This window comes from Homo sapiens, chromosome 9, assembly GCF_000001405.40.
Source record: "Homo sapiens chromosome 9, GRCh38.p14 Primary Assembly".
Lineage (NCBI taxonomy): Eukaryota > Metazoa > Chordata > Mammalia > Primates > Hominidae > Homo > Homo sapiens.
Window position 1 is genome coordinate 137,649,419 of NC_000009.12, and position 27,187 is coordinate 137,676,605.

The 27,187-nt window shown below is 47.1% G+C and overlaps 1 protein-coding gene across 31 annotated transcripts in view, besides 5 other annotated features; it reads left to right on the forward strand.

Moving 5' to 3' along the window:
- EHMT1 (euchromatic histone lysine methyltransferase 1) overlaps positions 1-27,187 on the forward strand; it is a 217,123-nt gene that overhangs the window by 30,414 nt on the left and 159,522 nt on the right. For 5 of the 31 annotated variants that reach the window (XM_011519021.4, XM_047423880.1, XM_047423874.1 and 2 more), the window contains exon 1: positions 16,504-16,634. The exons of 24 other annotated variants lie outside the window; for them this stretch is intronic. In XM_011519021.4, the coding sequence (XP_011517323.1) occupies positions 16,605-16,634 (30 nt within the window). In that variant the 5' untranslated portion in view covers positions 16,504-16,604. Of the gene's footprint in view, positions 1-15,499; positions 15,548-16,503; positions 16,635-27,187 lie in introns of those variants that run through there. 2 more of the 31 variants (XM_047423879.1, XM_047423877.1) reach the window with 2 other exon arrangements.
- Positions 14,933-15,437: an enhancer, noted in NCBI's record as "H3K27ac-H3K4me1 hESC enhancer chr9:140558803-140559307 (GRCh37/hg19 assembly coordinates)". NCBI's record gives its function as "activates a minimal SCP1, AML or CMV promoter by ChIP-STARR-seq in naive H9 embryonic stem cells {active_cell/tissue: H9 hESC(naive)}" and the evidence as "EXISTENCE:reporter gene assay evidence [ECO:0000049][PMID:30033119]".
- Positions 15,493-16,174: an enhancer, noted in NCBI's record as "H3K27ac-H3K4me1 hESC enhancer chr9:140559363-140560044 (GRCh37/hg19 assembly coordinates)". NCBI's record gives its function as "activates a minimal SCP1, AML or CMV promoter by ChIP-STARR-seq in naive H9 embryonic stem cells {active_cell/tissue: H9 hESC(naive)}" and the evidence as "EXISTENCE:reporter gene assay evidence [ECO:0000049][PMID:30033119]".
- Positions 17,515-17,584: an enhancer, noted in NCBI's record as "active region_29358". NCBI's record gives its function as "activates an Ori minimal core promoter by ATAC-STARR-seq in GM12878 lymphoblastoid cells {active_cell/tissue: GM12878}" and the evidence as "EXISTENCE:reporter gene assay evidence [ECO:0000049][PMID:35858748]".
- Positions 24,019-24,128: an enhancer, noted in NCBI's record as "active region_29359". NCBI's record gives its function as "activates an Ori minimal core promoter by ATAC-STARR-seq in GM12878 lymphoblastoid cells {active_cell/tissue: GM12878}" and the evidence as "EXISTENCE:reporter gene assay evidence [ECO:0000049][PMID:35858748]".
- Positions 25,253-25,769: an enhancer, noted in NCBI's record as "H3K27ac-H3K4me1 hESC enhancer chr9:140569123-140569639 (GRCh37/hg19 assembly coordinates)". NCBI's record gives its function as "activates a minimal SCP1, AML or CMV promoter by ChIP-STARR-seq in naive H9 embryonic stem cells {active_cell/tissue: H9 hESC(naive)}" and the evidence as "EXISTENCE:reporter gene assay evidence [ECO:0000049][PMID:30033119]".

A 27,187-nucleotide genomic window follows, 5' to 3' on the forward strand; every position in this document is an offset into this window, starting at 1 on the left:
CATTGCACTCCAGCCTGGGCAACAGAGCGAGACTCCGACTCAAACAAACAAACAAACAAACAAACAAACAAAAATGTCCTCCCAAATTCAGATCCACCCATGACTTGAGAATGGGGCCTAATTTGGACGTAGGATCTTTGCAGATGTAATTAATTAAGGATCTTGAGATGAAGTCGTCGTAGATTTAGGGTGGGCCCTAGATTTAGTGACTGGTGTCCATAAGAGGACACAGACTCAGGGAAGAAGCCACAGCAGCGGAGGCAGAGGTGGGAGCCAAGTGTTGCGAACCAGGGAGTGAGAAGATGGCCTACACCACCGGAGCTGGAAGAGGCAAGGAAGTGCTCTTTTCCTGGAGCCTTCAGAGGGACCACGCCCTGCCAGCAGCCGGATTTCACACTTCTGGCCTCCAGAACTGCGAAAAGATAAAAATAAATTTAGGTTGTTTTAAGTTAACCAATTTATGATACTTTGTTAAGGTAACTGCAGGAGATTAATGCTCTGGGCAAAGTGTACACGGAGTCTCTGTGTTACTTCTTACAATTGCATGTCAAGCTACAGTGGTCTCATTGTGGGACAACCTTTGAGGAACTGTGTTTTTATGGTGGCTGTGCCATCTAACATTCCTGCCAGCAGTGAATGAGGGTTCCAGTTTTTATATCGTCGCCAACACTTGTTATTTTATTTATTTATTTTTTTTTGAGACAGGGTCTCACCCTGTCACCCAGGCTGGAGTGCAGTGGTGCAGTCACAGCTCACTGCAGCCTCAAACTCCCAGGCTCAAGTGATCCTCCCGCCTTAGCCTCCTTAATAGTTAGAACTACACAGGTGTGGGCCACAATGCCAGCTAATTTAAACATTTTTTTTAGAATGGGGTTTCACCATGTTGCCCAGGCTATTCTCAAACTCCTGGGCTCAAGCGATCTGCTCACCTTGGCCTCCCAAAGTGCTGGGATTACAGATGTGTAATTACAGGTGTACCTTGCCCAGCTGTTGTTCATTTTTAAAATTATAGCCAAACTAGGGAGTGTGAAGTAGTATCTCATTGTGGTTTTGATTTGCATGTTGCTGATGACTAATGATGTTGAACGTCTTTTCATGTTCTTATTGGCCATTTGTATGTCTTCTTTGTAGAAATGCCTGTTTATATCCTTTGCCCATTTTAAATTGGGTTGTCTTTTTATTAATGAGTTACAGATGTTCTTTATATATTATAGAGGGAAGTCCCTTATCAGATATAGGACCCCCCGCTTTTTTTTTTTTTTTTTTTTGAGACAGTTGCACTCTGTTGCCTATGTTGGAGTGCAGTGGGGTGATCACAACTCACTGCAACCTTGACCTCCTGGACCCAAGTGATCCTCCCAATTCAGCCCCCCAAGTAGCCAGGGCCACAGGCACATGTCACCACACCTGGCTAATTTTTGTTTTTTAATTTTTTGTGCAGACTGTGTTGATCAGGCTGGTTGAACTCCTGGGCTCAAGCAATCTTCCCGCTGCCATATGAATATGAATATGTGCACACCCGTGGTTCCAGCTACTCAGGAGGCTGAGGTGGGAGGATCACGAGCCTGGGAGTTCGAGGCTGCGGTGAGCTGTGATTGCACCACTGCACTCCAGCCTGGGTAGGTGACAGAGTGAGACCCTATCTCAAACAAAACAAAACAAAACCACCAGTGTTGACGATGATATGGAAAAACTGGAACCCTCCCAAAGTGCCGGGATTACAGGTGTGAGCCACTGCACCCAGGCAGATGTAGGACTTGTAAATATTTTTTCCCATTTTGTGGGTTGTGTTTTCACTTTCTTGATAGTATCCTTTGAAGCACAAACATTTTTAATTTTGATAAAGTCTAATTTATCCCTTTGTTCTTTGTTGCTTGTGCCTTTTGTGTCCTATTTTAGAAACACTTTTGAAATTCAAGATTATGAAGATTTGTGCCTGTTTTCTTCTATGAGTTTTACAGTTTTAGCTCTTTTAATTAGATCTTTGATCTATTTTGAATTATAGTCACAGGCCACATAATGATGTCTCTGTCAGTGATGGACAACATATAAGATGATGGTCCAGTAAGATTATAATGGAGCTGGCCAGGTGCGGTGGCTCACGCTTGTAATCCCATCGCTGTGGGAGGGAGGCCGAGGCAGGCGGATCACTTGAGGTCAGGAATTCAAGACCAGCCTGGCTAACATGGTGAAACTCTGACTCTACCAAAAATAAAAATACAAAAAATTAGCTGGGCCTGTTGGCACACACTTATAATCCCAGCTACTTGGGAGGCTGAGGCAGGAGAAATGCTTGAACCTGGGAAGTGGAAGTTGCAGTGAGCCGAGATTGTGTCACTGCACTCCAGCCTGAGTGACAGCGAGACGCCGTCTCAAGAAAAGAAAAAAAAAGATTGTAGTGGAGCCGAAAAGTTCCTATTGCCCAGGACATGCTAAAGCTCTAGCAATAGGCATTATGTGTCCTGCTCAGGTAAACAAACCTACTCTGCTATCAGTTGTCTAAAAGTCTAGCACATACAGTTATGTGCAGTACCTAATGCTTGATAATGATAATAAACTCCTATGTTACTGGTGTATGTAGTTACTATTCTGTACTATACTTTTTTACCATTATTGTAGAGTGTACTCCTACTTATTTAAAAAAAAGTTAACTGTAAAACAGTCTCAGGCAGGCCCTTCAGGAGGAGTCTAGAAGACACTGTTACCATAGGAGATGACGGCTCCATGCATGTTAGTGCCTCTGAAGATCTTCTAGGGGACAAGATGTGGAGGTGGGAGACGGTGATACGGATGATCCTGACTCTGTGTGGGCCTTGGCTAATGTGTGTGTTTGTGTTTTAGTTAATTTTTTTTTTTGTAGAGATGAGGTCTTGCTATGTTGCCCAAGCCAGGCTGAAGTCATCCTCCTGCCTTGGCCTCCCAAAGTGCTGGGATTACAGGCGTGAGCCACAATGCCCGGCCAGTGTGTCTTAGTTTTATTTTTTTTGAGACGGAGTCTCACTCTGTCTCCCAGGCTGGAGTGCAGTGGTGCGATCTTGGCTCACTGCAACCTCTGCCTCCTTGGTTGGAGCAATTCTCCTGCCTCAGCTCCTGAGTAGCTGGGATTACAGGTGTGCACCACCACGCCCAGCTAGTTTTTTTATTTTTAGTAGAGGTGGGGTTTTGCCATGTTAGCTAGGCTGGTCTTGAACTCCTGACCTCAGGTGATCCACTCACCTTGGCCTCCCAGAGTGTTGGGATTACAGGCGTGAGCCACCGCGCCTGGCTAGTGTATCTTAGTTTTTAACAAAAAAGTGTAAGAAGTTAAACTTTTTTTTTTTTTTTGAGATGGAGTTTTGCTGTTGTTGCCCAGGCTGGAGTGCAGTGGTGCAATCTCGGCTCACCGCAACCTCCGCCTCCCAGGTTCAAGCGATTTTCCTGCCTCAGTCTCCTGAGTAGCTGGGATTACAGACACCTGCCACCACACCTGGCTAACTTTTCTGTATTTTTAGTAGAGACAAGGTTTCACCATGTTGGCCAGGCTGGTCTTGAACTCCTGACCTCAGGTGATCCATTCGCCTTGGCCTCCCAAAGTGCTGGGATTACAGGCGGGAGTCACTGTGCCTGGCCTTAGATGGTGTAGCCTACGTGTACAGTGTTTATAAAGCCTACAGTAGTGTATAGTGATGTCCTAGGCCTTCACATTCATTCACTACTCACTCACCCAGAGCAACTTCCAATTCCAGCCCTGCAAGCTCCATTCATGGTAAGTGTCCCATACAGGTGTCCCTTTTTTATTTTTTATACTGTATTTTTATTGTACCTTTTCTATGCTTAGATATATTTATATATGCAAATACTTACCATTATATTCCTGTCGCCTGCAGTATTCAACACAGTAACATGCTGCATAGGTTTGTAGCCCAGGAGCAATAGGCTCTACCCCATAGCCTCGGTGCGTAGTAGGCATCTAGGTTTGTGTGAGTACAGTCTGTGATGTTCACAGAACAGTGAAGTTGCTTAACGTTGAATTTCCCAGAAGGTATCCTCGTAGTTAAGTGATGCATGGTTGCATAAAGCACCTAAGACAGTGCTTGGCACACGGGAAGACTAAGGGCTTGATTTTCTCTTTCTTTTTTTTTTCTTTTGAGACAGAGTTTTGCTCTTGTCGCCCAGGCTGGAGTGCAGTGGTGTGATCTCAGCTCACTGCAACCTCTGCCTCCCAGTTTCAAGCGATTCTCCTGCCTCAGCCTCCCGAGTAGCTGGGATGACAGGCATGTGCCACCGTGCCCAGTTAATTTTGTATTTTTAGTAGAGATGGGGTTACTCCATGTTGCCCACGCTGGTCTTGAACTCCCGACCCTGATCCGCCTGCCTCGGCCTCCCAAAGTCCTGGGATTACAGGCGTTAGCCACTGCCCCTGGCCGATTTTCTCATTTTCACTGGTGCATAAAATAAGCAAAGTGATTTTCAACAAGTCAGACAATGCCAGTACTGGAACTTCTCCTCCTTGATGCATTTCTCAGAAGGTATCCCCATTGCTGAGAAACACTTCCCTGTGCTTTTTGTATATGGTATGAAGCAGGGGTCCATCTTCACGCTTTCGCATATGGCTCTCCCGGTGTCCTAGCACTGTTTGCTGAAAAGATTCTCCTTTTATTGAATAGTCTTCATGGCTTCATTGAAAAATTAATTGACCATAGGCTGGGCGCGGTGGCTCACGCCTGTAATCCCAGCACTTTGGGAGGCTGAGGTCAGGAGTGCGAGACCAGCTTGGCCAACATGGCGAAACCCCATCTCTACTGAAAATACAAAAATTAGCCTGATGTGGTGGTGGGTGCCTGTAGTCCCAGCTGTTCAAGAGGCTGAGGCAGAAGTATCGCTTGGACGTGGGAGATGGAGGTTGCCGTGAGCTGAGTTTACACCACTGCACTCCAGCCTGGGCGACAGAGCGAGGAGACCCCACCCCCCACCCCTTACCACCTCCCCCCCACCAAAAAAAAAAGAGAAAAATTAATTGACCATAAATATGTGAGTCTGTTTCTGAACTTTCAGTTCTCTTCCATTGATCAGATGTTGTTCCTTAGGCCAGTATCACAGTGTCTTGATGACTTTACCTTTGTTGTAAGTTTTGAAATGGAGAGGTTTGAGTCCTCCAAGTTTGTTCTTCTTTTTCCAGATTGTTTTGGCTATTCTGGGTCTCTTAAGTTTCCATATGAATTTTAGGTCATCCTGTTAGTTTCTGCACAGAAGCCAGCTGGGGCCCAGTGAGGTGGGCCAGACTGGAGAGGGTGGCTGGGGAGGCAGTACATGCCTGAAGGCTTGAGTAAAGGCTGGGCCTGCCATGCCCCAGAACATGGCATTATCTGGACAGACACCAGGAGAAGCACGTTAGAGCTGAACAGGGAAGTGAACAGTGCACATGGTTCTGAGCCCACAGGGTGGTCAGAGTTTGGGCCAGGTGGTGGGGTACAGCCAAGCTGGGATGCTGATGCCTATGGCTTAGACAGGCCAGCGTGGACAGCAGAGGTGGTGTCAAGGACCTTGGTATTCAGGGACTGCAGCAGGAAGGTACCAGGTGGTTAACTGTTTTTTCCTTTCTTTTCTTTTTTTTTTTCGAGATGGAGTCTTGCTCTTGCCACCCAGGCTGGAGTGCAATGGCATGATCTCGGCTCACTGCAACCTCCTCCTCTCAGGTTCAAAAGAGTCTCCTGCCTCAGCCTCCCAAGTAGCTGGGACTACAGGTATACGCCACTACGCTTGGCTAATTTTTGTATTTTTGTATTTTTTTATTTTTAGTAGAGACGGCATTTCACCATTTTTCGGCCAGGCTGGTCTCGAACTCCTGACCTCAGGTGGTCTGCCCGCCTCAGCCTCCCAAAGTGCTGGGATTATAGGCGTGAGCCACTGCGCCTGGCCGTTAACTATTTTCAGGCACTACACTGGCAACCTCACTGGTAGAGGCTGCTTAAAAAAGACCTCCTTACTGCCCAGCAGACCAGAACTATTGTTACCCATGAAAGGACCCAGGAATCTTACCTATGGAGTTTTCCTTAATGAGGAAGATAAAATACGTTGCATATATTAGGTGTCACTCAGTGCTGTTGAAGAATGAATGAATGAGTTCACAATAATTACCATTTACATGAAGATGCTAATAGTGTTTTTTATGCAGGGGTCCCCAAACTCCAGGCTGTGGAGTGCTGGTCAGTGGCCCATTAGGAACTGGGCCACCCAGCAGGACTTGAGCGGCAGGCTTTGAGTTGAGCATCCCTGCCTGAGTTCTGCCTCTGCCAGATCAGCAGTGGGATTAGACTCTCATAGGAGCGAGGACCCTGTTGTGAACTGCACATGCGAGTGATCTGGGTCGCGTGCTCCTTATGAGAATCTAGCGTCTGAAGATCTGAGGTGGAACAGTTTCTTCCTGAGCTACCCTCCTCACCTTTTGTCCATGGAAACATCGTCTTCCATGAAATGAGTCCCTGGTGCCAAAAAGGTTGGGGACCACTGTTTTAAAGTAATGATAAACTGAAAGATCACTGATTATCAGTGATATAAAAATGTTTTAATGCTTTATGATATATCTACTTTATGAAATACACTGCCATTCATGTGATAACTGAAGAATATGAAGACATGCTGGAATATTCAAGGGAAAAATTGTTTATATAGCTCATAACCATATAAAATGTGTACATATGGCTGGGCGCAGTGGCTCACACCTATAATCCCAGCACTTTGAGAGGCCGAGGTGGGCGGATCACCTGAGGTCAGGAGTTAGAGACCAGCCTGGCCAACATGGTGAGACCTCATCTCTACTAAAATTATAAAAATTAGCTGGGCATGGCAGCGTGCGCGTGTAATCCCAGCTACTCAGGAGGCTGAGGCAGGAGAATCACTTGAACCTGGGAGGTGGAAGTTGCAGTGAGCTGAGTTGGCACCATTGCACTCCAGCCTGGGTGACAGAGCGAGACTCCATCTCAAAAACAAAAACAAAAAACAAAAATGTATAGCTATGAAGAGACACTGGAAGGAAATGGGAGATTTTGGGTTAGAGTGATGACACTTAGATTTCGAAGTTTCCTGTTAACTATTGTCTTCCTAATCAACACAGGCTCCTGGCCCTGTGCGGATCTATCTAGAGGCACAGTGCCCATGCTGGGCTTCGCTTTCTTGACTGCCTTGTGCCCAGGCTGGGCCTGTGCTGTGGACTGGAGGCAGGGGCATATGTCCAGGGGACATGTGTACACCCAGGAGGCAGGGGGCATGAGTCCAAGGGCCGTGCTGGGCCTCTCCCTGCTTCTCACCCACAGCTGGATGCCCTTCCTTTTTTTTTTTAATTTTAATTTTAATTTTATTTTTGAGACAGCGTCTCGCTATTCCCCCAGGCTGGAGTGCAATGGTGCCATCTTGGCTCACTGCAACCTCTGTCTCCCAGGTTCAAGCGATTCTCCTGCCTCAGCCTCCCGAGTAGCTGGGATTACAGGTGTGTGCCACCACGCCTGGGTCATTTTTGTATTTTTAGTAGAGACAGGGTTTCACCATTTTGGCCAGGCTGGTCTTGAACTCTTGGCCTTAAGTGATTTGCCTGCCTCAGCCTCCCAAAGTGCTGGGATTACAGGTGTGAGCCACCGTGCCTGGCCACCCTTTTACTTTTGTCTGTTCATCCTGCAAGTGCAAGGTACCTGCTCCATGCTGTGGTCTGGGGGGTGTAGCAGTGAACAAAACAGACGGAACTTGTGTGTTATGGCCGGTGTAGACAAGGAAGGGCACATGGGCAGTGGTGTGGGGAGCGTGTGGCTGCAGTCTTGAGGAAGCAGCAGGAGCAAGGCGTGGGGCAGCCAGCTCAGCTGAAGAGGGGTGATTGTCTCATAGGCTTCTCCTAGAGGGACCACTGGGAGATTCTGAGCAGAGGAGTGGCGGAATGTGACTTCTGTTTTAACAGTGTCTTTCTCGTGGCAGTGTTGAGAGTTGGCTGCAGGGGTGCAGCAGGTGAGGTGAGAGGCTGTCGCGCTCGTTAGGATGAGAGGGTGGTGGTTTGAGTGGAAGTCGGCCTCCCAGGGTGTTGGGATTGTAGGTGGGAGCCAGTGCACCTGGTTGCTTTTTTTTTTTTTTAATAAAAATTTTTTATTTTCAATTTTTGTGGGTACATAGTAGGTGTATTTATTTATGGGGTACATGAGATGTTTTGATACAAGCATACAGTGCATAACAATCACACCAGGGTAACTGGGGTGTCCATCACCTCAAGCGTTGATCCTGTTTTACAGACCATGCAGTTCTACTCTTGTAGTTATTTTAAGATGTGCAATAGACCATTGTTGACTCTGGTCACTTTGCTGTGCTATCAAGTACTAGTTCTTACTCTATGTTTTGTGCCCATGAACCATTTCTACCCCCACTCCCCACCTCCACTCCACTGCCCTTCCCAGCCTCTGCAAACCATCCTTCTACTTTTTTTTTTTAATACTGCTTCTACAAGTGATAGCCCCTAGACGTCCTTCTACTCTACCATCTCCATCAGTTCAGTCATTTTAATTTTTAGCTCCCCCACATAGATGAGAGCATGTGAAGTTTGTCTTTCTGTGCCCAGCTGATTTCACTTAACACAGTGACCTCCAGTTCCATCCTAGTTGTGGATGATGGGATCTCATTCTGTTCATGGCTGAATACTGCCTCATTGTGCCTGTGTGCCACGTTTTACCTTCTGCTTCTTTCGTTCTCCTTCCTTCTGTCACTCGCGGCTCTTCCTATCCAGAATGGTCTTTTTCTCCATTTGGTCTCACTTTGTCACCCAGGCTGGAGTGCTGCGGCATGATCTTGTCTCACTGCAGCCTCCGCCTCCTGGGTTCAAGTGATTCTTGTGCCTCAGCCTCCTGAGTAGCTGGCATTACAGGCTGGTGCCTCCACACCCGGTTAATTGTTGTATTTTTAGTAGAGACGGGGTTTCACCATAGTGGCCTGGCTGGTGTCGAACGCCTGAGCTCAAGTGGTCCACCTGCCTCAGCCTCCCAAAATGCTGGGATTAGAAGCGTGAGCCACCGCACCCAGCGCCCAGAATGGTCTTTTTCAGACTTCAGAATTGCTTTCCCTGGTTCTTGTATCTAAGGTAGCTTCTCCTGTGTTTCTGTCCCTTTACCTTGGTTTATTTATCATCATCTGCAATTATCTTTTGTTTTTTTTTAATGGCTTTTTATAAAATTGCATAGAAAAATGAATTTTTCTTTTTTTTTGAGACAGGGTCTTGCCCTGTAGCCCAGGCTGGAGTGCAGTGGTGCGACGTTGGCTCACTGCAGCTTCAACTTCCCAGGCTCAAGCGATTTTCCCACCTCACCCTCCTGAGTAGCTGGGCCTACAGGTGCATACCACCATACCTGGCTATTTTTAAAAAATTATGTGTGTGTGTTTGTAGAAACAAGGTCTCACTGTGTTGCCCAGGCTGGTCTCAAGCTTTTGACCTCAAGGGATCCTCACACCTCAGCCTCCCAAAGTGCTGGGATTATAGGCATGAGCTACTGTGCCAGCCCAGGAACACTTCTGTGGTTGTCTTTTCTCTTGGGCTGGAGTGGAACTGCTGAACCATCGTAGACATCCTGCAAGCCCACATCCTCTTTCCTTGAGTTTGAGTCAATTGAATGTGTGTAAAACGGCATGTCATTATCATCTTATTTGGTTTTTCTTATTTTTCTTACTAATGTTGAACATCTAAATACATTATGTTTGTTGTGCCATCAAATACTAGATCTTATTCCAGGGTTTTCCTCCCAAAACATAATGTATTTTTCTTATTTTTGGTTTTTCTTCTTTTCTTATTAATGTTGAACATCTCCAATGTGGTACTTGGTTGGCTTTTCTGTGAAATGTCTATAGATGTCCTTTGCCCATTTTTTCATGCTTTGTGCTTATTATTTTGCAGTTCTTTGTATATTCTTAATTTTTTGTTGTTTCTGTGTATTATGAATATAGTCTCCTAGTTTGACAGTCCTTTTTGTATTTCTAAAATTAATTAATTAATTAATTAATTATTTTTAGAGACAGGGTCTTGCTATGTTCCCCAGGCTGGACTTGAACTCTTGGGCTCAAGCAGTCCTCCCACCTCAGCCTTTCAAGTAGCTGGGAATGAAAGTGTGTGCCGCCATGCCTGGGTCCCTTTAAAAAATTTTTTTTTTTTTTTTGGAGACAGAGTCTCTGTTGCCCAGGCTGGAGTGCAGTGGGTGCAATCATGGTTCACTGCGGCCTTGACCTCCCTTGCCTAGGTGATTGTACCACCTCAGCTTCCCGAGTAGCTGGGACCACCTACTACTGATGGTCCACCATAGTAGGCATGTACCACCACACCTGGCTAATTTTTGTATTTTTTGCAGAGATGGGGTTTCTCTATGTTGCCCAGGCTGGTCTCAAACTCGTGGGCTCAAGTGATCCGCCCACCTCGCCCTCTCAAGTGCTGGGATTACAGATGTGAGGCACTGCGCTTGGCCCCCTTTTGTATTTTAAGAGACTTTTCTTTCTCTTGCAGTCCAAAATGTATTTACCTAGATAGGTAGTGCTTAGCCGAGGTTTTGTTTTTGGCATGTAATTGACCTTTTTCTGTGATTGACCTTTTTCTTTTTTTAATGTAAATCATGTGAAGCAGGGATTCGATTTCATCTTTCTTCATGTGCCGGTGTGGTGGCTCACACCTGTAGTCCCAGCACTTTGGGAGGCTGGCAGGAGAATCGCTTGAGCTCAAGAGCTCGAGACCAGCCTGGGCAACAAAGTGAGACACCATCTCTACAAAAAATACAAATATTAGCTGGGCATAGTGGCACGTGCCTGTGGTCCTAGCTAATAAGGCTGAGGTGGGAGGATGACTTGAGCCTGGGAGGCAAGCAGAAGTTGCAGTGAGCTGAGATTGCACCACTGCCCTCTAGCCTGGGTTACAGAGCCAGACCCTGTCTCAAAAAAATTTTTTCCTCATCTTTCTTCATGTGTATAATCATTTTTCCTAGCTTTAGGTATTGAGCAAGCCCTCCTTTCTTCGTCAGCCTGTCATACCGTATCCCACAGTTCAAATGTGTGGGGGTTTCTGTTTTGTTTCTGTTTTTTTAGAGACAGGCTCTCACTCTCTTGGCCAGACTGGAGTGCAGTGGCGTTCTGGATATTTTTGGCCACTTATTCTTCAATATTAACTCTAGAATCATAAAATTTCATGAACAATCCTGTTCGGATATTAATTGGAATTGCACTGAATCTATGGATCAATTTTGTGTGAATCCACATCTTCACAATATATCTGACTATTTGTGAGCACAGTATATTTCTCTCTTCATTTAGTTTTTAAGAAATATTTCTATGAAATTTTACAATTTTTCCTGTAGAGGTCTTGCCATCTTTTGCAGGTTTCTTTCTAGATAACTGATGATTCTCTGATGCCATCGTAAGTGATGGCTTCTCTTTAATTACAGCAGCTAATTGTTTACTGCTGTTGTAGAATAACCACACAGCTGACTACTGAGTATTTAACCTTTCCTACCATCATCTTGCTAAGCTCTACTATTATTTCTAATACTTTGTAGAACATATAATAGCAGTTTTATTTCTTCCTTTCTAATCCCAGGCCTCAGATTCCTTGTCTAATTGTGCTGGTTAGGACACGATATGATGTCGAAAAGAAACAATGCTAGTGGATGTTTTTATTCTTGGTTTTGTCTATTTTTATGACTTTTTTAAATTTTTAGTTTGAAATAATTTTAGACTTACAAAAAAAGTTGCAAAAATAATACATAGAATTCCCATAGGTCCTTTTACCCAGATACCCCAAGTGTTAACATTTTACCACATTTGCTTTATCATTCTATATATCTATCCATCTCTCTAGTTTCTGTTTGCTTTTCATGATTATTCTTGATTTTAAAGGGAATGTTTCCAATATTTTCCTATTTAGGATGGTGTTTATTTTTTTAATACTTGAAAACTATTTTTTTCCTAGACTGCTCAACAGAACTATACTTTTTTATTGGAGTAAGGAAATGCTCTTCCATTCCTAATTTACTGAGTTGTAAAAATCATACTTGAGTATTGAATTTTACCCCAGGTAGTTTTTGTACATCTTTTTTTTTTTTTTTTTTGAGATGGAGTCTTGCTCTGTTGACAGGCTGGAGTGCAGTGGCGCAATCTCGGCTCACTGCAACCTCCACCGCCTGAGTTCCAGCAATTCTCCTGCCTCAGCCTCCCGAGTAGCTGGGACTACAGGTGCGCACCACCATGCCTGGCTAATTTTTGTATTTTTACTAGAGGCAGGGTTTCACCATATTGGCCAGGCCGGTCTCAAACTCCTGACTTCAGGTGATCCACCCACCTCTGCCTCCCAATTAAAGGCGTGAGCCACTGCACCCGGCTGTTTTTCTACATCTTTAAAGAAATCTATTTTTTTTCTCTTTTTTGAGATGGAGTTTCCCTCTTGTTGCCCAGGCCGGAGTGCAATGCTGCAATCTCGGCTCACTGCAGCCGCCGCCTCCTGAGTTCAAGTGATTCTGCTGCCTCAGCCTCCCAGGTAGCTGGGATTACACGCATGCGCCACCATGCCCAGCTAATTTTATATTTTTAGTAGAGACGAGGTTTCACCATGTTGGTCAGGCTGGTCTCGAACTCCTGACTTCAGGTGATCTGCCCACCTCGGCCTCCCAAAGTGCTGGGATTACAGGCATGAGCCACTGCGCCTGGCCAAGAAATCTATTAATGGGGTGAGTTACCCAACAATATCTGCTGATAGTATATATATATTTTTTACACATTGTTGAATTCAAATTGCTGATATTTTTGTTTAGATATTTTTTTTCCAGACAGGGTTTCACTCTGTCACCCAGGCTGGAGTACAGTGTTGAGATCTTGGCTCACTGCAACCTCTGCCTGTTGGGTTTAAGTGATCCTTCCACCTCAGCTTCCTGAGTAGCTGGGACTACAGGCACATGCCACAATCCCGAGCTAATTTTTGTATTTTTTGTAGAGATGGAGTCTCTCCATGTTGCCCAGGCTGGTCTTGAACTCCTGGGCTCAAGTGATCTGCTTACCATGGCCTCTCAAAGTGTTGGGATTATAATAGGTGTGAGGCATCGCACCTTGCCTAGAATTTTTCTTTTTTGAGACAGAGTCTCGCTCTGTTGCCCAGGCTGTAGTGTAGTGGCATGATCTCAGCTCACTGCAACCTCCGCCTCCCAGGTTCAAGCAACTCTCCTGCCTCAGTCTCCTGAGTAGCTGGGATTACAGATGCCTGCCACCACACTGGGCTAATTTTTTGTATTTTTAGTAGAGATGGGGTTTCACCGTGTTGGCCCGGCTGGTCTCGAACTCCTGATCTTGTGCTGGGATTACAGGCGTGAGCCACCGCGGCTGGCCTGAATTTTATTTATTTATTTATTTATTTATTTATTTATTTTTGACAGAGTCTTGCTCTGTCACCCAGGCTGGAGTGCAATGGTGCGATCTCTGCTCACTGCAGCCTCTGCCTCCTGGGTTCCAGCGATTCTCCTGCCTCACCCTCTTGGGTAGCTGGGATTACAGGTGCACGCCACCATGCCCGGCTAATTTTTGTACTTTTAGTAGATACAGGGTTTTGCCATGTTGGCCAGGCTGGTCTCGAACTCCTGACCTCAGGCGATCACCTGCCTCGGCCTCCCAAAGTGCTGGGAATACAGGTGTGAGCCACCGCGCCCAGTCCTGGCCTGGAATTTTTAACCTATATTTATTGTATAGATATCCACTCATTTTATTATCTCTTTCCTGTTCCTTTCTTTGAATTTATTTTGTTATTCATTTGTACCTTCTTTAGATGGATTTGCTGTTAGCCTGTTAATTTGGGGACTTTCTTTGAAGCTACAGCCTATGGTTCTTGTTCTGATAGTTGGCTTGAGCAGGAAGAGGCAGTAATGATGGGGTGATGTGGGCCATATGGCTGGTTAGGTGTCGATTCTTGACAAGATCCTGGTTTTTGTTGTGAGTGGTGGGTTAATGGGTGCTGACCAGGTGAAGAGCAGCATGGAGCAGTGGTAGCAGCGTCCTGTGTGCTGGAGTGGACTGCTCAGAATCCTCAGCACACTTGAGGTCCACAGAAGAAAGAAAAAGAAACATAAACTAAATAGTAAGAAAAGGTGCATATTGCAGAGTAAAAGACTTCCCATCTCCGTTTCTGCTCTCAATCTTACTTAAACATGTCACACTATTAATAATTTCTTATAATTCATTCCAAAAAGATGTTTGTGCACATACCAGCATCTTTCTGTTCTCTTACACGAGTCTTGGTATCATAGACACCCTGTTCTGTGATTTCCCATGCGAGCACACCAGCCTTTTCTTACCCTCTGCAAGGGCTTTTGGATATTCCCTTGTAGGGGAATAACAATGTCTATAACTAGCCTTCTGTGGGCGGGACTCAGATCCTCTCACCTGGAGAGAAGGTGGAATGCATGTCCTTGTTCCCTGTGATCTGGGGAACTTTTGCTAGTATATCTGTAGAGTAAGCTACACATATACCATTATTCGTATTATATGTACTGTGTATTATTACTACAAACTAAGTACTATATAGTATATGCATAATAAATTCTGCAAAAATTTATCTTACAGATTATATATTTTACAGATTATATATAAGTAAAATTATACTACCAATAGAGAATTGCTCAACCAAGAGGTATGTACTTTTTTTGTTTCAAGAGATGGAGTTCTCATTGTGTGGCCCAGGCTGGCCTTGGACTCCTGGGCTCAAGTGATCCTGCTGCCCCAGTCTCCCAAGGAGCTGGGACTACAGGTGCATGCCACTGAGCCTGGTGGTGTGTGTTTTTAAAATTTGATAACTATTGCCAAGTTGCCCCCAGAGAGATTTTATTAAATGAGAATTGCCTGTTTAGCCATACTTTTTTTTTTTTTTTTCTTTTGAGACTGAGTCGTGCTCTGTCGCTCAGGCTGGAGTGCAGTGGTGTGATCTCTGCTCACTGCAACCTCAGCCTTTCAAGTAGCTGGGATTACAGGTGCCCTCCACCACACTCGGCTAATTTTTGTATTTTTAGTAGAGACTGGGTTTCACCATGTTGGCCAGGCTGGTCTCGAACTCTGGAGCTCAGGCGATCTGCCCCCTTGGCCTCCCAAAGTGCTGGGATTACAGGCGTGAGCAACTGCGCCTGGCCCGATACTCTCATTGACAGACTTTAATTTTTTTTTTTTTGCCAGTTCAATAAGTGGAAAATGGCGTCTTTGTTGCTTTAAATGTATTTTCAGCTGCATTTGTTTTATTAGTCATATGCATTTATTTCCCTTAGTTTGCCTTCTCTGTTCTTTGTCCATATGGGGGAGGGAGCCGAGGTGGAGGGCAGGATTCTCTTGGGTTTCTGTGTGGGTTGCAGATAGGTTTGTAAATGACCACGCTCTGTTGCCTTAAGATGGATCTGTTGACATTGTGTTTTCTACATTTGAACTTGGAGTCCCATGTCTGGGTTGTTTGCTCTTGGCTGGGCGGAACCTGTGTACTTAAAGAGGAATCACTTGCATTGCTTTTCGGACATGGTGTTTTGTTGGTGCGTCTCCTCCCTGGCTGGTAAGCACAGCTTGCGGGCCTGGCTCTGTTGGACCACCCACTTTGCAACTCTTGGGCAGTCAACACTGATACTGTACTAGAAAGCGTGGGGGAGTTATAGAATAGCATTTATAGAGAAGGATTGGTGTTATTTACTTTCATGTGACCTTAAAAATAGAAAATAATATTTGTGCTTTTATTTTGCAGTTTGCCTGGAACCTGAATACACTATTTTAAAAAATATTCCCTATTTTTATAGAAAAAGGACTTCAAATATTTATTGTTTTGTATTAAGAGCTACAAACAACTTGGTCTTGATTGGAGAGCTGGCATAGGTGTATAAGGGCCTCTCCCTGTAAGAAATTTGGAGCTGGGGTGGGCATAGGAGGTGATGTTTAGGAGCAGCCTGAGTGTGGGGAGACTGCTGTGCTCGAACCTGCGTCGTGCAGGTGCGTCCTGGAGCTACTCCTTGTGGCAGAAGCATTGCCCTGAGACCCAGCCCTGGTATGCTTGGCACTGGGACAGGAGCTCCGGTGGGAGGTGCGCATTGCGAGCTGGTGTTTTCTGTTTGCTTTCCTACCCACTGTCATGTTGTGGGCTCTTGGCCCCAGAGGTAAAATGTCTCTGTGAGTTGAGTTCCTTGTGAGAGGGCTGGTCCCCAGATTCCATGTCTAGGTTTTTGTTAGTATTTTTTCAACAGAGCTAATCCTGAGAGGCCCTACGAGCAGTGATTGCTTTGTGGGATGAGCTGTGTTGATGGTTTCTGTGGAGGGACCCTTCACGTTTTAGGGTGAAAACAATAAATGTCTCGTTAAATGGTTTCCATCTGAGAACACTGATTGTTTTAAAATGGTTGTGAATGCGAGGGTTTAAGCAGCTTCCGAGGAGGCCTGGAGGTGCCTGGGCGGCCGCGTGCAGCTCTGGAATCCTGCCGCTGGGGCAGCCTCCATTTCGTGAGATGGCTCTGGAGCATGCCCAGTGCGTGGAGCTTTCAGAGGGAGCCGCCGAGCTGGGCTACTGTGATTTCTCTGCAGTTGGCCGCAGTCAACAATTGCACTAAGACAGGAGGAAAAAAGTGATGGGGTACAAGCAAGAAACGTGGTATTTGGTACTTTTTTTCTTTTGCTTAATCCCTCTTTCTTTTACATTGGTGCTTCTAGGCTGGGGCCAGGGCCTGCAGAGCAGGGACGCTTGCTGTGATGGTGGGGACACCTCCTTGTCCTCCATGCCGCTTGCCTGCCAAAATAACCCTGTTTTGCTCTCTGGTCACCCACCATGTGCACTTTCTTGGGAGTGGGATGGGAGGTCCCCTCCAACTGAGGGTACTGAGAACAGCTCAGGCCCGTTCCACATTTGCTGGTAGCAGGAGGAACTCTGACCTTTTTCAGTTATGCTGATGATAAACCAGGACTTTTTCCCTTGTTTGAACATTTATAAAGAGCGTGCTTGAACTTTTTTGCTGACTAGCAGTGTTTTCCTGTTTTATTCTCCTACCTGCCCCCATGGCAGCCTCAGTGGTGGAGGGAGTGAGGCTGGGAAGGGATGACACTGCCAGGTGAGCAGGAACCAGGGACCCTGGGACCAGAGGCCAGGCTGTGCAGGGCAAGGGCTGGCCGTGCCACGGTGCAGCTGGCTCTTTGCCATGCAGGCTGCAGAAAAGGAAATCTGTCCGCCTTGGCTGTGAGGATGGCATTGACCACTCATCAGGAGAGCTGGGAACAGAGCCTCCCCCTCGGAGCCTGTGTAGTCCCCGTCCACACGTGTGGGTTGTGTGATGATCCTGTCTGCGTGTTCATTGGGAGACTCCATTTTCCGTGGAATGGTGAGGAGGGTAGAGAGGCAGCAGAGTCTCCACTTGGATTTTCTAAGCAATTCCACAGAAAATAAGACGTTGCTCAAGCAAGTGCTGGGCACATCTTAGGGAGAGACCTAGTGAGGAGGGCTGTGTTTTAATTAATTAATTAATTGTAAATAACAGGATTAGAGCAGATTGGTTCATAGCTGCCTGTTCTAGAACCGTATTCTTCGAACAAAAGGGTGGGGGATGGTAGGCTTCTCTCCTAGCTCTGAGGAAACTCCAGCTCAGCGCACAGCATGAGGAGGACGAGGGAACAATAGGGCGTTCCTTTGTGCCTGCCCTTGAAACGCGGTGGAGGCCACTCAGTGAGCCCGGGCAGTGCCATCGCTCACGTGTCCCCAGCAGCAGTGGCGTCTGTGGGGATGCTGTGCACTGGAAATTGGCACTGTTTTGGGTAGTGGTTCTGAGAGGAACTGTTTAACCAGGTATGCAAATGTGCTGATGCAGGAATGTTTTTGAACACCTGTGATGTAAATTTTAACGGTGGTTAATGTTAGCAGCTCCACCTGGGTTAGCTCAACCCTTAGAGATTATTTGTTCTCATCTCTTTGGAGTTGAAAATGTTGTACTTTTCTAGGAGCCATTTCCCCAGGCCATGTGGAGGTCAGGTATCTGCTGGTTCTGGCCTCACTCTACTCCTCCTCCTCCTCCCCGCTCTGTGGAGAGGGTGGCTTGAAGGAGACGGGCAGCAGGTGTGTGACTGCAGTCCTGGGGCACGGGCAGAGGCTGGCATGTGGGGAAAGCAGGACCCGGGAGGCTGTAGCTTAAGTAGACATTTGTTTTTTATTTGAAGAGAATTTTAGAGATGGGGTGGTGGTGGATTTTAGCATTAGAGATTTCTGGCTTCTGCTTGAAGCACTGTGAATAGGGGACAAAAAAATAACCAAGAGGAAAAGTTCATGTAAAGTAGAAGTTTTGGTGTGTTTTCTTGAAAGGAAATTGTCTACAGTGAAAGCGTTGTATTTTTAGAGAACTCGGGGAGGAAAACGCTGTTGTGCTGCTTATCACACGGGTCTGGCCTTTTTGACATCTGAAATCTTATAGGAATTTGTCTTTTTGAGAGTGTATGCTGCTTATTTGGTTTCGTGGAATCCAGAAAAGAGCCTATCCAAATTATCTTTACCTTCAGGGTAAATTACCTTTTAGAATTGTGGCAGATGGCACATAGGACCTCTCAGAGGGACTGCACCTTGTACAAGAAGAAAAGTGAGAGGGTGTTGCAAAGGAGAGCTTCCACCTCCTTTATAGACTTTTGCAGAACAGCTTTCTTCCTTTCGACCTTGGAGAAGAGGCAGGACCAGTGGGGAGGCAGACAAGTAGGTGAAGGAAGACAAAAGGAAGAAGGGACGCACTGATCGAGAAGACAAGGAGTGCTGATGGCTTTGGGCGCCAGCTGTCTACTCCAGAGAGTCTAACTGACCTGGGACTTGCAGGATCCTGCTAGAAGAAAAATCCTTGCTTCCTTCTCCTCCTGTTTTCTTCCTCTTCCTCCATTCTCCTTCCTCTCCCTTCTATTCACCCACCCACCACTCACCCACCCACCACCTGGCACATACACCCACCCACTCATCCATCCATCCATCTACTGTCTACTATCCACCTCACCACCCACCCATCCATTTATTTACCCACCTACTCATCCATTCACCTGTCCACATCCATCTATTCACCAACCATCACATATTAATGACTTACTATATACCAGAACTACTAGTACTGAAACTTGAGTATATTTGTGGACAGAGCACCAGAAATCCAGAACATTTGTATCATCCTGAAAAGAAACCTTATACCATTAGCAGTTCCTTCCCGTGTCCCCCACTCCCCCAACCCAGTCCCTGGCAACCACTCATCTGCTTTCCTTCCCTGTCGATTTGCCTGTTCTCTGTTGTCTTTCGTGCCTGACTTCTTTCACTTAACTTAGTGTTTTCTTTTTTTTTTTTGCTGTTAATGGACAGTGCTGCCATGAACATTCATGTACGAGTTTTTGTGTGGACCTGGGTTTTCATTTCTTCGGCTATCCCGGGAATGGGATAACTGGTTCATATGGTGACTGTCTGTTTTAAGTACTGGAGTAAATGCCAAGTTGTTTTCTTTTTTTGGAGACGGAGTCTCGCTCTGTCCCCCAGGCTGGAGTGCAGTGGCGCAATCTCAGCTCACTGCAAGCTCCGCCTCCCAGGTTCTCGCCATTCTTGTGCCTCAGCCTCCAGATTAGCTGGGACCACGTGCGTGCGCCACTGACCCCCGCTAATTTTTCTATTTTTAGTACAGACGGGGTTTCACCATGTTGGGCAAGATCGTCTTGAACTCCTGATCTCAGGTGATCCGCCTGCCTAGGCCTCTCAAAGTGCTGAGATTACAGGCGTGAGCCACTGTTCCCGGCCTAGAAGTAGGTTCTTGATGTATCCTTCATGTCTCGTCTTCCCTCTCGCACCCTGCACCCTTCTCGCCCAGTGCTTACTGCTTGCTGGGTGCTGGTCTCCTGCTTAAAGAGCAGACTGAGGACCCCTGGAAAGACGCCCCCACAGCACGTGGACCCCACACCACCCAAGACGCTCCCACAGCACGTGCACTGGACTCCACCCAAGACGCCCCCCACAGCACGTGCACTCCACGACTGCACCCAAGACGCCGCCCACAGCACGTGCACTCACCTCCACCCAAGACGCCCCCCACAGCACGTGCACTGGACTCCTCCCAAGACGCCCCGCACAGCACGTGCACTCGACTCCTCCCAAGACGCCCCGCACAGCACGTGCACTCACCGACTCCACCCACTGTCTACCCAGGGCGCAGCCGCTCCAGCAGCTCTTCCCTGGCCCCTCCCCCACCTTCACTTTTTGCTCTCTTCGGAGCATTCATTGCCTTTAGTACACAGACTTGTGTCCCTATGTAAAAAAAAGCTTTGCTTTTGTTTTTTCTCTTTTTTTAAAAAAAAATTAATCTCCTTATGTTGTCCAGGCTGTTCTTGAACTCTTGGCCTTAAGTGATCCTCCCATCTGGGCCTCTCAAAGCGCTGATATTACAGGTGTGAGCCATGATGCCTGGGCCAAAAAGATTTTTTTGGAGACGGAGTCTTGCTCTGTCGCCCAGGGTGGAGTGCAATGGCGTAATCTCGGCTCTCTGCAACCTCTGCCGCCCGGGTTCAAGCAATTGTTCTGCCTCAGCCTCCCCACACAGCCTCAGCTGGGTTTACAGGTGTGTGCCATCACGCCCAGCTAATGTTTTTGTATTTTTAGTAGAGATGAGGTTTCACCTTGTTGGCCAGGCTGGTGTCTAACTCTTGGCCTCAAGTGATCCGCCTGCCTCAGCCTCCCAAAGTGCTGGGATTACAGGCGTGAGCCACCGCGCCTGGGCTGAAAAAAGCTTTTCTTGATCCTGCTTCCCACCAGCTTCACGTCAGTTCTTTGCCCTTCTTTGCGCCAAACTCCTCCAAAGATTTGTGTTTTTTTCATGGTGTGTGCATCCTCCCTCATTCTCCCTTAGATCCTTAGTCAGACCTTGCACCTCCACCCCCAGGGCAACAAAACCATCCTGGTTAAGGTTTCTGTCGGTAGCCTTCCTCCCTTGGCTAGTCCCCTCTCCTGCCCTGACCCGGTAGTGTCCTCACTTAGTCCTTGGGCCTTGCTATCCTGCCCCCTCCCCCCGGTGCTGGGTGCAGCTCAGCCTCTGGACTCTGGTGTCCTGTGCCCACGTGCGAGCTCCGTTTCCTGCTCCCTTCATGGCTTCCCATCTGCCTCCCTCCTCTTTGCCCTTCTTGCAGGTGCTTCTGCCTTCTGACTTCCTCAGTCTCCCATCTGCGCCTCTCTCTTCTGACTGGTTTCCCTGGCCACCTGTCCTTCTGGGGGCAGGTCTGCAGCATATCAGCCCAGGGAACCAGTTAGTCCTCACTGAGGCCCTGCCCCTCCTGGCTCCAGTTCCTACGGGCCTGTCTGCGCGTCTTCCTCGTGTAGCCTCCCTGGGGTCTAGCGGGGCTTAGCGCTCTCCTGGGGGCTGTGTCCAGGGGAAGGAGAAGCCAGAGCTGCCTTTCCATTCTCTGTCCGCTCGCCTTTGCCGCCGTCTTCCTTCTGGGAGGGCTTTCTCGGAGTGCAGGCTACCTTTTCTCTTTCTTGCTGCCCTACCTCCTGTGGCCACACCCTCTGGCCTGTGGGTCTTGGCTTGGCTTTGTCATCGTCCACTGTTGTGTGACTCTTGTTCCAGGGTAAGCCGCTGTGCACGTGGTTGAATGTAACAGAGGGCTGTCCCGGGCCGTGAGCTGTGTCAGAACTCTGAACCCTTCCAGGGCCACCGTGTGCTTGACTTACAGATTAGTGAGGGTGTCTTGCCTATAGTTAACTGTTTTCCCGTATAATTATTCTGTTAACCCTTTTATAGCTAATAAGTGAGCGGAAATTCTTAATTTTTTTTCATTCAGTGTAAGAAAAAAGCAGAAGGAAATATACAAAAAGTTAACTTGGTTATTTCTGAATTGTGGGATTGCCAGTGATTTTGTATGTTTTGGAATATAATAAAGTTTTTTTACAGAGAGCATGTATTAGCTTTACAGTAAGAAAAAATTAATGGAAACCCTCATTTATATGTAACAATTCATATGATTAACGCTTATCACTTAAGAAAACATATAGTAAAAACCTGAAGGGAAGATGACCCTGAAGTTAGATAATGCCCTGTCAAAACAAAGCGACCCAAAGACCCGAAGAGTTGGATCCTTTTCTTTCTTTTTTTTTTTTTTTTTTTTTCGAGACAGAGTTTCGCTCTGTCTTCCAGGCTGGGGTGCAGTTGTGTGACCTTGGCTCATTGCAACCTCTGCCTCTCGGGCTCAAGCTATTCTCCCACCACAGCCTCTCAGGTAGCTTGGACTACAGGCGTGTGCCACCATGCCCAGCTAATTTTTTGGGTATGTTTTGTAGAGATGGGGTTTTGCCGTGTTGCCCAGGCTGAGCTTGAATCCCTGAGCTCAAGCTTTCCACCAGCCTTGGCCTTCCAAAGTGCTGGGATCACAGGCATCAGCCACTGTGCCTGGGCCTGAATCCTATACTTGGAATCCTGATGAAATAAGGACCCCAACCCTGCAGTGCTGTGGTCCAGGCCTTGCCCCGACATGTGGCTGTGGAGAGGCCGTGGCCCCTTAGTCCTTGTGTTCGTGCTGCGCCCCTTCTCCCTGCACTCAGTGAAGCTCCCCCAGCACTTCCTGTCCAGCAGACATGACAGTGCAGAGACCCCAGGATTCTTCCAGGGCTCCGGCTACATACAGATGTGAAGCATTATTTACCTTTCGCTCTCATTCTGTGCTGAGTGTCAGGCACGAGATGTGTGATAGTGCCATAGAGGGCGTGCAGCAGGCGGTGTGAGCATCTGGCTCTGCTGACTGGAAAAGATAGGTGCACAAATGTAAAACCGTATCACTTTTGTTTCTTTTTTTAAAAGAATACTTCATTTTCATAAAGTGTTTTATGTTAACGCGTAGTAGGTTTATTGTTATTTGTACAGGAGGTTTTGACAAATGGTAAAACTAACTTGATGCCATTTTCATAAAGTATTTTATGTTAACATGTAGTAGGTTTATTGTTATTTGTACAGGAGGTTTTGACATAGTAACACTAACTCGGTGGCATTTTCATAAAGTAAATTTTATGTTAGCACGTAGTAGGTTTATTTTATTTGTACAGGAGGTTTTGACATGGTAACACTAACTTGGTGCCATTCTGGCAACTCGTGGACAAAATCCCTTTGGGGTACTCAGTGTGTTTAGAGTGTGACGTGGTCTTGAGAATGAAAAGTTTGGGAATTGTTGTTTTACCGTAAACCAAAGCGCCTGGCGCAGTACTGCAGTGAACTAACCAACCAACCAACCAGTTTCTGCCTCTCGTAGAGCTGACATTCTGATTGGGGATAAGTTTCACATTTTTGTGTCATATCCTTCAAAATAGTCAACTCCTTAGGTTTAATGTCTTTTTATCAACATGGAGATTTTGAATGAAATTCAGCCATGAGTGTGTGTTTGTTTTCCCATGCTATCTCAATCGTATTACAGAGCAGTGTTGTGGAAACATTTAAAAAACAATCTCTGACATGAGTAGGAATGTGGTCTTCTACCAGGAACTTTACCGATTGCAGAGAATTTATTAATATTACTACTATACCTTGTGGTTTTCTGCATGCAGGTTTAAGCCTGCATTTACACTTCTAACCACAAGGTGGTGCTTTTGTTCTAGGTCCGAAGGCTGACACCGGGCTGGATGGAGCTTGAGAACCAGTTTTATATGGGTTGCTTTTTTGCCAATTTAAGATGATTCTGCTTTGAAGTGCTTAGCAAAGAACCTTACCTTCCTTTTGCATCAGGGTTGTCTCATCTTAGAGTGACATCCTAGAGTGTGTAGGAACCTCCCAGCAGGTGTTTATTGAGCACCCCTTACTTGTGTGCTAGTCTGGGTGCCTGGTGGTGCTCAGAGCTGGCCTGGACCAAGTCCCCAGGGGTTTGTGGTCCCTCACCATTCTCGACTGCTGCTTTTATATTTGTTGTATTTCTGATAGGACCGTTGCTCACGTTGCTCTTCTGATCTGAAAAAAGAAATAGGCTTCTCATTTTTTCATGGTGTGTAAGTTCTGTACAGCCTTATTTTTATGTCTCATGTTGTTCTGAAGAGGAGATGGGTGTCCTGGGAGGCAGGGCAGCTGTGTCCAGCTGCAGTGTCCCTGGTGGCTGAGCTGAAGGCAGTGTGAAGCTCCGGCCTCGAGGATGTGCCAGGGAGTGTGTGGAGGTCATGTCTGTGTCCCTCCCTCAGACCCGCACTCCCAGCCTGTGCTTTACACCAGACAACTCCTGGCGAAACTGCGCTGCTGCCCTGCCTGGCACTGGCCCTGCCCTCAGGGAGGCTCTGGCCGGGGCTGCCAGTGTTCATCAGTGTCTTCAAAACTTGTTTCTCACATTAGAAAAATGTTAAGGCCCGTCATTTCATGGTGGTAATTGTGTGAGAGTATGTATGAATTGAAAAGATGGAAAATGACACAATTACTATGAATATAGTAAGATTAAAAAACAGCATCTGTATGTGTCAACATATTACTTAGCCTCCCGGAGCCAATACTAGCAGGACCTGAGAGTCTGTGGGTCCCTCCTAGGGCTGTACTGTTCTCTGGAGCCTGGGGGCTGAGGCCTTGATTGGGGGCAGGACAATCTGTTGTCTTGGAATAGAGCCCAGGAGGCCCAGACAAGGTGCTGACCAGCTAAAGCTGCTTTTTTCACACACTGTTTGAAATACGGTTAGTGGAGAGAGGCAGTGGGGCGATCCAGGGTGGGCAGGGAGACGTTCTAAAACACCAAGGCATTCCTCACAGGGTCTGGAGCGCAGTGAGCTTAGAAAACCAGCACCGTAACACATGCTGCCCTTTACGAGGCAGTGGTGGGGCGAGGGGGGCTGCACGTGTGACCCGCCTGCACCAGGGCCTCCTGAAGGCCAACCTCTCCATCGAGCCCTGTTCTGAGACCAAATTCCAGGTGCCGAAAGACATTAAACAGGATTGTGCTCTTCACTGGCATCTATCAAAGAGCACCAACATGATATAAATTAAAACCCACAGTAAAATCTCTCAGAATTCCGTCCCCTTTTCTGGCTCTCCCACACTCTGCAGGCTGACGGAGAATCTCACTGTTGGCCAGTGTCCCCAGATGCCCTGACTCTCGGCTCCAGCGCTCTTTCTTTGTGTTCTGTCTGGTCTAGAAGAGCAAGTCCAGGTAGCTGTGGCGCCGCCTGTGCCTTGCCTCCTGCAGTCTGCCTACGATTGCACGACTCACCTCTTGATGTGTGAGACCCGCATTTATATTTAATCATCATCTTAGAGTATATTCTTCCAGTAGTTGTAGAATACGTATTTTGTGCCCATGCTAGGTGCCCGGGTTGCAAAGGTGGATTGGGGCTCCTTTTGTAAGTGGGAGGCAGGCTTGTGTGGGTCACCACAGGGCAGCCCGTGATGAGCTGCAAGGGCCATCTGAGCCCCAAAAGCTCGCTGCATAGTTGGAGAGTCGCGGGAAGCAGGGGGAAGGGTGATGGTCTGGGCCCTACTGCTGCTGGAATTTTAAGTAGCTCAGTGTGACTGGCACATAGGATTTCTGACCTGAAAATCATTGGGCTAGGTTAGAAATCTGCAAACTTCTGTAAAGGACCAGGTATGTGGGGTGTGGGCCGCGTAAGGTCTCTGATGCATATTCTTTTTTATTTTTACAACTTAAAAAATTAAAAAAAAATTCATTCTTAGCTTGTGGGAAGTAAGAAAGCAGGCTGGGCTGGATTTGGCCCGGGGGCCGCACGCCTGGCCTAGATTGCTGTAGCTCCTTCTGTGCCTTGTCATGAAGTGTGAACTTGATTCCATGGGCAGTGGGAAGCCACTGAATTTTTAAAGAAGATGATGGTAAGGTCACAATTTTAGAAAGATAATTTTAACTGCAGAATAGATGCTAGACTGAAAAGGGGAGAGGCTGGAATTAGAAAAATGAGTTGCTAGATTATTCCTATTACCACTGACTTGAGAATAATGTGGCTTAAAATAAGGTAGCGGTGGAATTTGATGGAATATTTAGGAGGCATAGAATTTGGTGACCAATAGGGGGGTTGGTGTGAGGGAGCATGAGTAGTTCATTTTCTCTTTTACTTTTTAAATTTTATTTATTTATTTATTTTTGAGATAGAGTCTTGCTCTGTTGCCCAGGCTGGAGTGCAGTGGCGTGATCTCTGCTCACTGCAAGCTCCACCTCCCAGGTTCCCGCCATTCTCCTGCCTCAGCCTCCCGAGTAGCTGGGACTACAGGTGCCGGCCACCACGCCCGGCTAATTTTTTTTTTTTTTTTTTTTTGAGACAGAGTCTCGCTCTGTCACCAGGCTGGCTCACTGCAACCTCCACCTCCCGGGTTCAAGCGATTCTCCTGCCTCAGCCTCCTAAGTAGCTAGGATTACAGGCGTGCACCAACCACGCCCGGCTAATTTTTTTTTTTTTTTTTTTTTTTAGACGGAGTCTCGCTCTGTCGCCCAGGCTGGAGTGCAGTGGCGGGATCTCGGCTCACTGCAAGCTCCGCCTCCCGGGTTCACGCCATTCTCCCGCCTCAGCCTCCCAAGTAGCTGGGACTACAGGCGCCCGCCACTACGCCCGGCTAATTTTTTGTATTTTTAGTAGAGACGGGGTTTCACCGTTTTTAGCCGGGATGGTCTCGATCTCCTGACCTCGTGATCCGCCCGCCTCGGCCTCCCAAAGTGCTGGGATTACAGGCGTGAGCCACCGCGCCCAGCCTAATTTTTTTATTTTTAGTAGAGATGGGGTTTCACCATGTTGGCCAGGCTGGTCTTGAACTCCTGACTTCAAATGATCCACCCGCCTCGGCCTCCCAAAGTGCTGAGATTACAGGCGTGAGCCACCGCGCCCGGCCATTACGCCTGACTAATTTTTTTTGTATTTTTAGTAGAGAGAGGGTTTCACCGTGTCAGCCAGGATGGTCTTGATCTCCTGACCTCGTGATCTGCCTGCCTCGGCCCTGCAAAGTGCTGGGATTACAGGCGTGAGCCACCGCGCCCGGCCTATATTTTATTTTTTTAGACAGGGTCTCACTCTGTTGCCCAGGCTGGAGTGCAGTGGCGCGATCTCTGCTCGCTGCAACCTCCGCCTCCCGGGTTCAGGTGATCCTCCTGCCTCAGCCTCTGAAGTAGCCGGGACTACAGGTGTGTACCACCACACCCGGCTAATTTTTACATTATCTGTAGAGACGGGGTCTCCTTATGAGACAGCCAAATGCCTAGGCAGATAAAAAGGAGTCCC